General features: G+C 48.5%; 1 protein-coding gene across 13 annotated transcripts in view, besides 1 other annotated feature; it reads left to right on the forward strand.

The window, feature by feature from the left end:
• The window catches only part of ARHGEF18 (Rho/Rac guanine nucleotide exchange factor 18), a 131,053-nt gene that overhangs the window by 51,930 nt on the left and 66,607 nt on the right, over positions 1-12,516 (forward strand). The gene's annotated exons all lie outside the window — the stretch shown is intronic.
• Positions 9,144-9,283: a silencer, noted in NCBI's record as "silent region_9980". NCBI's record gives its function as "represses an Ori minimal core promoter by ATAC-STARR-seq in GM12878 lymphoblastoid cells {active_cell/tissue: GM12878}" and the evidence as "EXISTENCE:reporter gene assay evidence [ECO:0000049][PMID:35858748]".

Below are 12,516 nucleotides of genomic sequence, written 5' to 3' on the forward strand. Positions count from 1 at the left end.
GAGTCCTGAGCAGGTGCTCTCTCATTGCAGTGTGGGATGGAAGGAGGGGAGGACCATGTCAGATTACTTGGCAGGAATCTAGCATCATCTTGCATACAGGGACATCCCAGTTACACTCTGTGTAGGGATACCTCTAATTTGCTGACGTTTCATTTGAAGAGCAAAATTGAATTTAGAAACCATAGTAAGTTGGGAAGTTATCCACAATGGGGATTACTGGACTCATTAGTTCCCTTACGGGGGTGAAATGGATAGTGACGGACCAGGTAGAATGTAGAGCAAAGGATTTCAGCATCCTTGGGCGCTGGAGGCAGCAAGGGATCAGCTCTGTAGCGCTGACAATGCCAGGGTGTGGTGGCCAGTGGTGGGTCCGTGTGACCCTTTGTGATGTCCACTTGGGGGCTCCTAACCAATGAGGTTTTGTTTGTTTTGGTTTTGAGTCAGGGTCTTGCCCTGTCGCCCAGGCTGGAGTGCAGTGTCACAATCATAGCCCACTGCAGCCTCAACCTCCTGGGCTCAAGTGATCCTCCCACCTCAGCCTCCCAAATAGCTGGAACCACAGGCACACACCATCACGCCTGGCTAATTTTTTTTTATTTTTTGGAGAGACAGGGGTCTTACCATGTTGCCCAGGCTGGTCTTGAACTCCTGAACTCAAGCAATCTGCCTGCCTTGGCTTCCCAAAGTGCTGGGATTATAGGCATGAGCCATTGTGCCCATCCCTAAGAGAGATGGGAAGATGGAAAAATTGGAACCCTCATACACTGCTGGTGGGAATATAGGTTGGTGTAGCTGCCTTGGGAAACAGGCAGTTCCTCCAAAGCTTAAACCTTGAGTTAACCCAGCAATTCTGTTCCTCTGTAGGTTCCTAAGGCAAATGAAAACATAGGTCTACACAAACACTTGCAGAGGAATGTTCATAGTAGCATTATTCCAAGTAGCCAGAAAGCAGAGACAACCTAAATGTTCATCAGCTGAGGAACGGATACATAAAATGTGGTCCCGCCATACTGTGGAATATTACTTGGCCATGAAAAAGAAGTTCCGATACAGAGATGGACCTGGAAAAAACTTGCTCAGTGGAAGAAGCCAGTCCCCAAAGGCCACCTGCTGTATGATTCCATTTATATGAAATGTATACAACAGGCAAATCCACAAGGACAGAAAGTGGATTAGTGGTTGCCACAGGCTGGGGGTAGTGGAGTGGGGAGTAATGGCCAAGGTAATGGGGTTTCTTTTTGAGGTGATGAAGGCATTCTAAAATTGACTGTAGGCTGGGCGCAGTGGCTCATGCCTGTAATCCCAGCACTTTGGGAGGCCAAGACGGGCAGATCACAACGTCAGGAGTTCGAGACCAGCCTGGCCAACATGGTGAAGCCCAATCTCTACTAAAAATACAAAAATTAGCCAGGTGTGGTGGTGCGTGCCTGTAGACCCAGCTCCTCCGGAGGCTGAGGCATGAGAATTGCCTGAACCCCAGAGACGGAGGTTGCAGTGAGCCGAGATCCTGCCACTGCACTTCAGCCTGGGCAACTGAGCGAGACTCTGTCTCAAAAAATAAAATGAATAAATACATAAAATAGATTGTGATGACAGATGCAGAACTCTGTGAACATACTAAGAACCATTGAATTGGATGCTGTCAAAGGGTGAGTTGTGTGGTATGATAATTCTATCTCAATAAAGCAGTTACAAAGAGAGGAAGAGATGGAATAAGAACTGGAAGCACAGTGGCAATGGGACAGAATTTTAAGGAATGGTTTGAGACTGAGTGGCAGGAAGACTGGGGGGTAAAGCTAAGAGAACCCTAAAGGAAAGGGGACCAGCTTGCCCCGTAAGTGGTGTGGGGCTAGGTTAATAGATTGCCTAATGCCCAGGAGATGTCAGTGTGCCCATGCGCTGGTCCCTGCCATGTAGGACCACGTAGGAGAAGGTTACAAAGTGTGTCTGTACCATCCAGTGTGACAAAGTGAGAGCCTCGGAGCAGGTATAGCCCAGGCATGACCCAGAAAGCCCTCTTGACCAGCTGCTGCTGGCCAAGATAATTATATGATCACAATTTATGTTATATTATAGCAAATTTAAAATTGGGATAATGTGATTCACATACCACAGAACTCACCCTTTTACAGTGTACAATTCAATGTGTTTGTTTTGTCTTTTCTGAGACAGAATCTCACTCTGTCACCCAGGCTAGAGTACAGTGGCGCGATCTCGGCTCACTGTAACCTCCGCCTCCTGGGTTCAAGCAATTCTCTTGCCTCAGCCTCCCAAGTAGCTGGGGCTACAGGTGCAGGCCTCCTGACCTCAAGCAATCCGCCCGCCTTGGCCTCCCAAAGTGGTGGGATTACAGGCGTGAGCCCACCACACCCGGCCAAATCAGTGATTTTTACTATGTTCACAGAGTGGTGCAGCTGTCACTACTATAATTTCAGAACATTGTCATCACCCACAAGAAAAGCTCACACCCATAGCTTTCACTGCCCATTCCCCCATCCTCCCAGCCCCCAGCAGCCACGACCCTACTTTCTGTCTCTAGATCTGTCTATTCTAGACTTTTCATATCAGTGGAATCTTACAGTATACTTGATGTATTAATGTGACTTCTTTTACTTAGCATAACGATTGCAAGGTTCATTTACGTTGTTGCCTAAACTTAGCTTTTTCTTTCTTTCTTTCTTTCTTTCTTTTTTTTTTTTTTGAGACGGTCTTGCTCTGTTGCCCAGGATAGAGGAATCACAGCTCACTGAAGCCTTGACGTCCTGGGCGCAAGCAATCCTCCCGCTTTGTCCTCCTAAGTAGCTGGCACTACAGGTGTGCGCCACCGTGCCCGGCTAATTTTTTATTTTTTGTAGAGATGAAGCCTCGCCGTGTTGCCCAGGCTGGTCTTGAACTCCTTGGCTCAAGAGATCCTCCTGCTGGGCTCAATGACTCACACCTGTAATCCCAGCACTTTGGGAGGCCAAGGCAGGCAGATCACCTGAGGTTGGGAGTTCAAGACCTGCCTGGCCAACATGGCAAAACCTCATGTCTACTAAAAATACAAAAATTAACCAGGCGTGGTGGCTGGTGCCTGTAATCCCAGCTACTGATGAGGCTGAGGCAGGAGAATCACTTGAACCCGGGAGGCGGCGGAGGTTGTAGTCAGACGAGATTGAGCCAGTGCATGTCAGCCTGGGCAACAGAGCGAGACTCCGTCTCAAAAAAAAAAAAAGAGATCCTCCTGCCTCAGCCTCACAGAGTGCTGGGATTAGAGGTGTGAGCCACTGCACCTGGCCTAGTTATTTGTAATCTGTAAGAAGAAATGTGAAGGAATAGTAAGGAGCACCTTGCCAGAGGCAGGTACGGGCTGCCCTGGGGCCGTTTCACTGAGTTGACCTGACCTTGTGTGTTCATTGTTGATCCCTTCCCTGTCCTGGCTCCAGGGAGCCAGTTAGATGCTCGAGGGGCTTCTCGGGCTGCGTTCTCTGTTGTCCTGTAAATACCGACTGATCTGGATAACAGTTGTCAAGTCACAAAAAAGAGAAACACAGTTAGGTAGAAACCCAAAGCAAACCCGCTCTGTGAGGCTGAGGCAGGAGGATCTCTCTCTTTTTTTTTTTTTTTTTTTTGAGATGGAGTCTCGCTCTGTCACCCAGGCTGGAGGGCAGTGGCTCAATCTCGGCTCACTGCAATCTCCGTCTCCCGGGTTCAAGTGATTCTCCTGCCTCAGCCTCCCCAGTAACTGGGATTACAGGCGCCCACCACCACACCCGGCTAATTTTTGTATTTTTAGTAGAGATGGGGTTTTGCCATGTCTCTATTAAAAGGCCTTTTAGATAGATCGTGGAGCTAATCCGACCTGAACATCCCAGTCCTGGAGTATTTTAGCATGAGGATAGCTCTCTATTGGTCTGGAAGGTTCGCCTGATGGTTGGGCCTGAAGACAGGGGCCTCAGGGACTCTCTTGTAGCTCCTTCAGATGGGTGCTTTTGTTTTGACCAAAAACAGAACATTCTATACCGTGATCCAATGGGCACACGTACAATAATAGGATGCAAAGTGTTACCAAACCGAACTCACCTTTATTGTGTGCGACAGACTCGGGTGCTTTATTTTTATTTTTATTTTTTTGAGATGGAGTCTCACTCACCCAGGCTGGAGTGTAATGGCATGATCTTGGCTCACTGCAACCTCTGTGTACTGAGTTTAAGAGATTCTCCTGCCTCAGCCTCCCCAGTAACTGGGATTATAGGTGCCCGCCACTATGCCCAGCTTATTTTTTATATTTTTAGTAGACACGAGGTTTCACCATGTCAGTCAGGCTGGTCTCAAACTCCTGACCTCAGGCAATCCGCCCGCCTCAGCCTCCCAAAGTGCTGGGATTACAGGCGTGAGCCACCGCGCCCAGCGACCTCTTCCAACTTCTAAAAGGTGGCCCTAGGGATTCCTCGGCTTGTAGCCATGTCATTCCACACCCTCCGTGGTCACGTGGCCTTCACCTGTGTGTGTGTTTCCCCTCTGTATCTGTGTCTCTAAATCTCCCTCTCCTTTCTCTACACAGACACCAGTCATAGGCTCTAGGGCCCACCCTAAATCGAAATTTCATCCCGAGATCCTTAACTAATGACCTCTGCCCCAGGCTCTCTTTCCAAAGAAGTCCATATTCCAGGGTTCTTAGTGGACGTGAATTTTGGTGGGACACTGTTCAGCCCACTTCAGGAACCTCCTATTTCTAGCGATTTGTAAACAACAAATTTGTTTTGTTTTAGTTTTTGTTTTTGAAACAGGGTCTTGCTCTGTTGCCCAGGCTGGAGTGCAGTGGTGCGATCATAGCTCACTGCAACCTCTACCTGCCAGGCTCAAGCAATCCTCCCGCCTCAGCCTCCTGAGTAGCTGGGACCACAGGCATGCACCACCACGCCTGGCTAATTGTTGGTTTTTGTAATGCTGTTTTGTAGAGATGGGGTTCCACCATATTGCCCAGGCTGGTCTTAAACTCTTGGGCTCAAGGGATCCTGCTTCAGCCTCCCAAAACACCGGGATTCCAGGTGGGAGTCACCATTCCCAGCCTAGAACAAGTTTACAAGCTATTGGCACTCATTTCTTAGGCTCTTTACAACACAGTGATTTTCCAGTATTTTGAAGTTGAAGTAAATGTAGAAGGTCTCACTCTTTAGAACCAGTTAATTGCAGAGAGGAAAGAGGAGGTCTTCAGGAGAACACCAGATTCTTTTTGTTGTTGTTGTTATTGAGACGGAGTTTCGCTCTGTCACCTAGGCTGGAGTGCGTTGGCGCTATCTCGGCTCACTGCAACCTCCACCATCCGCTTGGGTTCAAGCGATTCTCCTGCCTCAGCCTCCCAGGTAGCTGGGATTACAGGCGCGTGCCACCACGCTTGGCTAATTTTTGTATTTTTAGTAGAGACAGGGTTTCACCATGTTGGCCAGGCTGGTCTCGAACCCCTGACCTCAGGTGATCCACCCACCTCGGCCTCCCAAAGTGCTGGGATTACAAGCGTGAGCCACCACACCTGGCCTCCAGATTCTTTTTGAAAAGCTTCTAAATCTGAATTCTCTGTGAATATAATTTGCCAAAACGTATGAGTAGGAATCTGATATTACAGTCTGTCAAATGTCTGGCCGTGTGCCTATACTCCATATAATCTTTTCCTTCCCCTGCATTCAGATACCACCTTCATCAAACACAAAAGTGTTATAGATTCAGAGAGGGCAAAAAACAAAGCTGTACCAGCTGCCTTCCCCTGCACCTAGCTTACGAGCTGACCTTGAGACACAGGATATGTTAAAATATATTCAAGCTCACACTGTTGCAGTTCTAAAAGGAATGCTAATGAAGGTCTTTGCAAGGTTCTGGAATTTTCCTAGCGTAGGAGCTGGTTGCTGACTTATATTAATAGTTATAGCCACCTGGCACAGTGGCTCACGCCTGTAATCCCAGCACTTTGGGAGGCCGAGGTGGGCGGATCATGAGGTCAGGAGATTGAGACCATCCTGGCTAACACAGTGAAACCCCGTCTCTACTAAAAAAAAACAAAAAAAAACAAAAATTAGCCGGGCGTGGTGGCGGGCGCCTGTAGTCCCAGCTACTTGGGAGGCTGAGGCAGGAGAATGGCATGAACCCGGGAAGCAGAGCTTGCAGTGAGCGGAGATCGTGCCACTGCACTCCAGCCTGGGCGACAAGGCAAGACTCCGTCTCAAAAAAAAAAAAAAAAAAAGGTTATAGCCATCATACTCAGGATGGTAGGGAACTTGAGATGCTCAGAAACCAACCACTGGCCAGGCATGGTGGCTCACGCTGGTAATCCCAGCACTTTGGGAGGCCAAGGTGGGTGGATCACCTGAGGTCAGGAGTTCGAGACCAGCCTGGCCAACATGGTGAAAACCCCGTCTCTACTAAAAATGCAAAAATTAGCCGGGTGTGGTGGCGGGCACCTGTAATCCCAGCTACTCAGGAGGCTGAGGCAGGAGAATCGCTGGAACCCAAGAGGTGGGGGTTGAAGCGAGCCGAGATTGAGCCACTGTACCCCAGCCTGGGTGACAGAGTGAGACTGAGTCTCAAAAAAAAAAAAAAAGAAACCAACCTCTTTGCTACTTGTTTGTGGCCTGTTTGCTCCCAGCATGGGCAATTTCAAGCGTCTGGAATTCAGTAATGACTTTGCACAGCGAATCCACTTTGCCACTCCTTTTATTCCGGTTCCTTCTGCACATCAGGGATAGAGCATTGGGAGTTCCCAGACTGCATGAGCCCAGCTGGTTGCATTTGAATTCTTGGAAATAGGCTCTCCCTTCCAGAACAAACCAATTAGATATAGTAGGCCAGGGGCCAGCAAATTTTTTCTGTTAAGAGCTAGGTAGAGGCCGAGACGGGCGGATCACGAGGTCAGGAGATTAAGACCATCTTGACTAAAACGGTGAAACCCCGTCTCTACTGAAAATACAAAAAAACTAGCCGGGCGTGGTGGCCGCGCCTGGAGTCCCAGCTACTCGGGAGGCTGAGGCAGGAGAATGGCGTGAACCCAGGAGGCGGAGCTTGCAGTGAGCCGAGACCGCGCCACTGCACTCCAGCCTGGGCAACAGAGCGAGACTCCGTCTCAAAAAAAAAAAAAAAAAAAAAAAAAAGAGGTAGTAGGCTGGGTGCAGTGGCTCACGCCTGTAATCTCAGCATTTCAGGAGGCAGAGGTGGGCAGATCACTTGATCCCAGGAGTTGGAGACCAGCCTGGGTAACGTGGTGAAACCCCATCTCTACTAAAAATACAAAAATTATCCAGGCATTGTGGCTTATGCCTATAATCCCAGCTACTTGGGGGGTGAGACAGGAGAATTGCTTGAACTCGGGAGGTTGAAGTTGCAGTGAGCCGAAATCGCACCACTGCCTCCAGCCTGGATGATAAAGTGAGACCCTGTTTCAAAAAAAAGAGAAAGAGCCAGATAATAAATATTTCAGGCTTTGCAGCCCACATAGCCTCTGTCACAGCCACTCAACTCAAAAGAAGCCACAGACAACAGAGAAACAAGTGGGCGTGGCCGTGTTCTGATAAAATTTTATTTACAAAAACAGGTGGCCAGCCCACAGACAGTAGGGGTTCACCAGCCCCTACAGTAGACGCATCATTTTTACAGTTCTGTTTCTAGGGCCACAATGGTCTGACTAAATTTGGCGAGGGATGCGGGTTAGGGAACAGGAGGCCCTCACCTGTCTCATGAGCTTAGCAGCTGTGTCCCAGGTTGACCTCTTCACAATCTGGGCCCATCCATGAGCAGCAGCTCCCTGAGGGGCCCCTCTTTATCCTGCAGTGTGTTTTCTAAGGGAGTAATGATCTGTTGTGGTATTTGCAAGCCTGGGGGTGTTCAACATAGAGTTTGAGTCCCCCCAGATGAAAACAACAAGACCGGCTGAGTGCAGTGGCTCACGCCTGTAATCTCACACTTTGGGAGGCTAAGGCGGGAGGATCACTTGAACCCAAGAGTTCAAGACCAGCTTGGGCAACATAGTGAGACCCCATCTCTACAAAAAGAAATATATAAACTTACACACGCGTGGTGACTACAGGTAGGTAGTGTGCACCTATAGTCCCAGCTACTTGGGAGGCTGAGGCAGGAAGATCGCTTGAGTCCAGGAGTTCGAGACTGCAGTGAGCCGTGATTGCACCACTGCATTCCAGCCTGGGCAAGAGCAAGACCCTGTTTCTTTTTTTTTTTTTTTTTTTTGAGTTGGAGTCTCGCTCTGTCGCCCAGGCTGGAGTGCAGTGGCGTGTTCTCGGCTCACTGCAAGCTCCGCCTCCTGGGTTCATGCCATTCTCCTACCTCAGCCTCCCAAGAAGCTGGGACTACAGGCGCCCACCACCTCGCCCGGCTAATTTTTTGTATTTTTAGTAGAGACTGGGTTTCACCATGTCAGCCGGGATGGTCTTGATCTCCTGACCTTGTGATCCACCGCGTCCGGCCGACCCTGTTTCTTAAAAAAAAAAAAAAAAAAAAGACTTAATGGCAGTCCCAGTCCATGCTATGGAAAGGTTGGCCTCTGTGAGAGTTTGGATTAGATTGGAAACTAATGAAGAGTCTTTTTTTTTTTTTTTTGAGTTGGAGGCCACTCTATCACCCAAGCTGGAGTGCAGTGGTACAATCTCGGCTCACTGTAACCTCCACCTCCTGAGTTCAAGCTATTCTCCTGCCTCAGCCTCCCAAGTAGCTGGGATTACAGGCGCCTGCCACCACCTCCAGCTAATTTTTGTATTTTTGTATTTTTTAGTAAACACGGGGTTTCACCATGTTGGCCAGGCTGGTCTCAAACACCTGAACTCACACTTGAGCCAAGGCCCACCTCGGCCTCCCAGAGTGTTGGGATTACAGGCGTGAGCCATCGCGCCTGGCCTGTGAGGGGTTTTTCTTTCTTTCTTTCTTTTTTTTTTTTTTTTATTGAGATGGAGTCTCACTCTGTCGCCTAGGCTGGAGTGCAGTGGTGCAACCTCAGCTTACTTACTGCAACCTCCGCCCTCCAAGTTCAAGCGATTCTCCTGCCTCAGCCTCCCAAGTAGCTGGGATTACAGGTGCCTGCCACCACACCCGGCTAATTTTTTTTGTATTTTTTTTTTTTTTTTTTAGCAGAGATGGGGTTTTACCATGTTGGCCAGGTTGGTCTTGAACTCCTGACCTCGTGATCCACCCGCCTTGGCCTCCCAAAGTGCTGGGATTACAGGCGTGAGCCATCATGCCCGGCCTGTGAAGGGTTTTTCTAAGGTTCACCAGCCCTGACATCATTGCAGTTCCCTTTTTCCAGAAATGCAGTGCCCTTGAATACTTTCCCCGCCCATTGAAGGCAAACAGGGTTTTTTCTGGCATTCTGCACACCTGTTTTGCTGCCCTGCCTTCCGCCTGTGACTGATTGCTTTTGATCTGCTGAAAGAGAAACCCCCGGCCTCTCTCAGGTGTTTGGTTTCCTCTGTCCGTCTTAGAGTCACCTCTGCTGACATTTATTTGCTGTTTATTTCCCACATTAAAATTGTTGGCTTGAAATATATATATATATACACACACACATACATACACACACACATATGTATATAAATCTTCCAGCTTTCTGGAAGATTTCAGCTATGTAACTAGACCTGAATTAATGTTTTCAGAATCAGTCTTCTTTTCATCAAAATGTTTTTCAGGGGCTGGGCATGGTGGTTCGCGCCTGTAAATCCCAGCACTTTGGGAGGCTGAGGCTGGCAGATCATCTGAGGTCAGGAGTTCGAGACCAGCCTGGCCAACACGGTAAAACCCCATCTCTACTAAAAATAAAAAAATTAGCTGGGTGTGGTGGCATGCACCTATAATCCCATTTACTTGGGAGGCTGAGGCACGAGAATCGCTTGAACCTGAGAAGCAGAGGTTGCAGTGATCTGAGATTGTGCTATTGCACTCCAGCCTGGGCAGCAGCGTGAGACTCCATCTCAAAAAAAAAAAAAAAAAAAGGTTTTTCACCCTTGTCATTTTGATTTCTGCCCAGTCAATAGAACTAACATAATTGTTTAAAAAATGCCACGCACTGCCCTTCCTAAGAAGGCCTCAGGGGGTGGAATAGTTTTGCTGGGACCTCTTATACTTCAGCATCTGGCCTGTACCCAGTGTCAAGAGAAATACTCACAAGGCAGATGCTTTTTCAGCATCTGCAATATCTATAGGTGATATTGAAGGTCCCTCCATCCTGATACCAGAAAATAGTGTGAAATTTGCACAAAAGGAAGCAGAGGATCTCAGAACAAGCCTGGGCAGCGCAGGGCCTCTCCACCTGAGACCTGGCCTTAGGCACTTTCTTTTGTCAGATATGTTAAAAATGAAGTTGCACACCAAGCTTCTCTCTTTCCTTCTTTTCTTCCTGTTCCTTTCCCCTACCTCTTCCCCTTCCCCTTCCCCTTCCCCTTTCCCTTTCCCTCCCCTCCCCTTCCCTTTTCTTTTCTATTTCTTTTCTTGACAGAGTCTTGCCCTGTTGCCCAGGCTGGAGGGCAGTGGTGTGATCTCAGCTCACTGCAACCTCCACCTCCCAGGTTCAAGCAGTTCTCCTGCCTCAGCCTCCCAAGTAGATGGGATTACAGGTGCACACCACCATGTCCAGCTAAGTTTTGTATTTTTAGTAGACACAGGCTTTCACCATGTTGGCCAGGCTGGTCTTGAACTCCTGACCTCAAGTGGTCTGCCCACCTCGGCCTCCCAAAGTGCTGGGATGACAGGTGTCAGCCACCGTGCCCAGCCAAGTGGCATCTTTTTTTAAAAAAATCATTTTTTAAGTGCACAGGTTGGTGGCATTAAACACATACACATTGCTGATGCTACCATCACCACCATCCATCTCTAGAACTTTCTCCTCTTCCCAAGCTGCAACTCTGTCCTCATAAAACACTCACTCTCCATCCCCCTCCCCAGCCCTTGGCACCCACCATTCTACTTCCTGTCTCTATGAATCTGACAACTCTAGGGACCTCCTAGAAGTGGAGTCACATACGATGTATTCTTTTGTGACTGGCTTATTTCACTGAGCATAGTGTCCTCAAGGTCCATCTGTGTGTCAGAACTTCCTTCTTAAGGCTGAATAATATTACAGTGTGCGTGTATGTCACGTTTTGTTTATCCATTCATCTATACATGCACACTTATTTCCATGTTTTGTGTTTTTTTGTTTGGTTTTTCTTTTTTTTTTTTGAGATGGAGTCTCGCTCTGTCACGCAGGCTGCAGTGCAGTGGCGTGATCTTGGCTCACTGCAACCTCTGCCTCCCGGGTTCAAGCAATTCTCCTGCCTCAGCCTCCCAAGTAGCTGGGATTACAGGGGCGCGCCACCACACCCGGCTAATTTTTGTATTTTTAGTGTTGGTCAGGCTGGTCTCGAACTCCTGACTTCGTATTCCGGCCTCCTCGGCCTCCCAAAGTGCTGGGATTAGAGGCGTGAGCCACCGCGCCCGGCCTATGCTAGGGTTTTTAGGAACCACCAAGCTGTCTTCCATAGCAGCTGCCCCATTTTACCTTCCTACCAGCAGTGTATGAGGGTCCTGGTTTCTCCGCCTTCTCACCGAGACACTTAATTTTCGGTTTTTTAAATTATACCATTTTAGGCCAGGAACGGTGGCTCAGCCTGTAATCCCAGCACTTTGGGAGACGAAGGTGGGCGGATCACCTGAGGTCAGGAGTTCCAGACCAGCCTGGCCAACATGGCAAAACCCCGTCTTTACTAAAAATACATAAAGTAGCCGGGCGTGGTGGCAGGCGCCTGTAATCCCAGCTACTCAGGAGGCTGAGGCAGGAGAATCACTTGAACCCAGGAGGCGGAGGTTGCAGTGAACTGAGATCGAGCCACTGCACTGGAGCCTGGGTGACAGAGCAAGACTCTGTCTCAAAAAAAAAAAAAAAGTAAATAAAATAAATTATCCCATCTTAGTGGGTGTGAAGTGGGCGGTTTTGCTTTGCGTTTCCCTGGTGACTACTGATGTTGAGCGTCTTTTCATGTGCTGACTGGTCGTTTGTATCTCTTCTTTGGAGACGTGTCTGTTTACATCCTTTGCCCATTTGTGAATGGGAGTATTTGTTTTTTATTGTTGAGTTGGAGGAGTCCCCTTACTAGTTGCATCTGACACTATAGGATCTTGCAAGAACTGGAAAGCAAGTCACAGTTTCCCGTGACCTTTGGCATTTCAGCCAGCGAATCAGGATCAAACACATGGAAATAGAAAGCATCTAACCACGTCCCACACCATATTTTTGGGGGCAGGATCAGAAGCACGCAGAGATATTAAGATAGTTATGGGCTGGGTATGGTGGCTCATGCCTGCAATCCCAACACTGTGGGAGGCCAAGGCAGGAGGATCGATTGAGCCCAGGAGTTCAAAACCAGCCTGGGCAACACGGCAAGACCCTGTCTCTACCAAAAAAAACACAAAAAACAAAAAGCTTTTTTTTTTTTTTCTTTTTTTTTTGAGACAGAGTCTTGCTCTGTTGCCCAGGCTGGAGTGCAGTGGCACGATCTCGGCTCACTGCAA

The sequence above is a fragment of the Homo sapiens genome, chromosome 19 (genome assembly GCF_000001405.40).
Source record: "Homo sapiens chromosome 19, GRCh38.p14 Primary Assembly".
Lineage (NCBI taxonomy): Eukaryota > Metazoa > Chordata > Mammalia > Primates > Hominidae > Homo > Homo sapiens.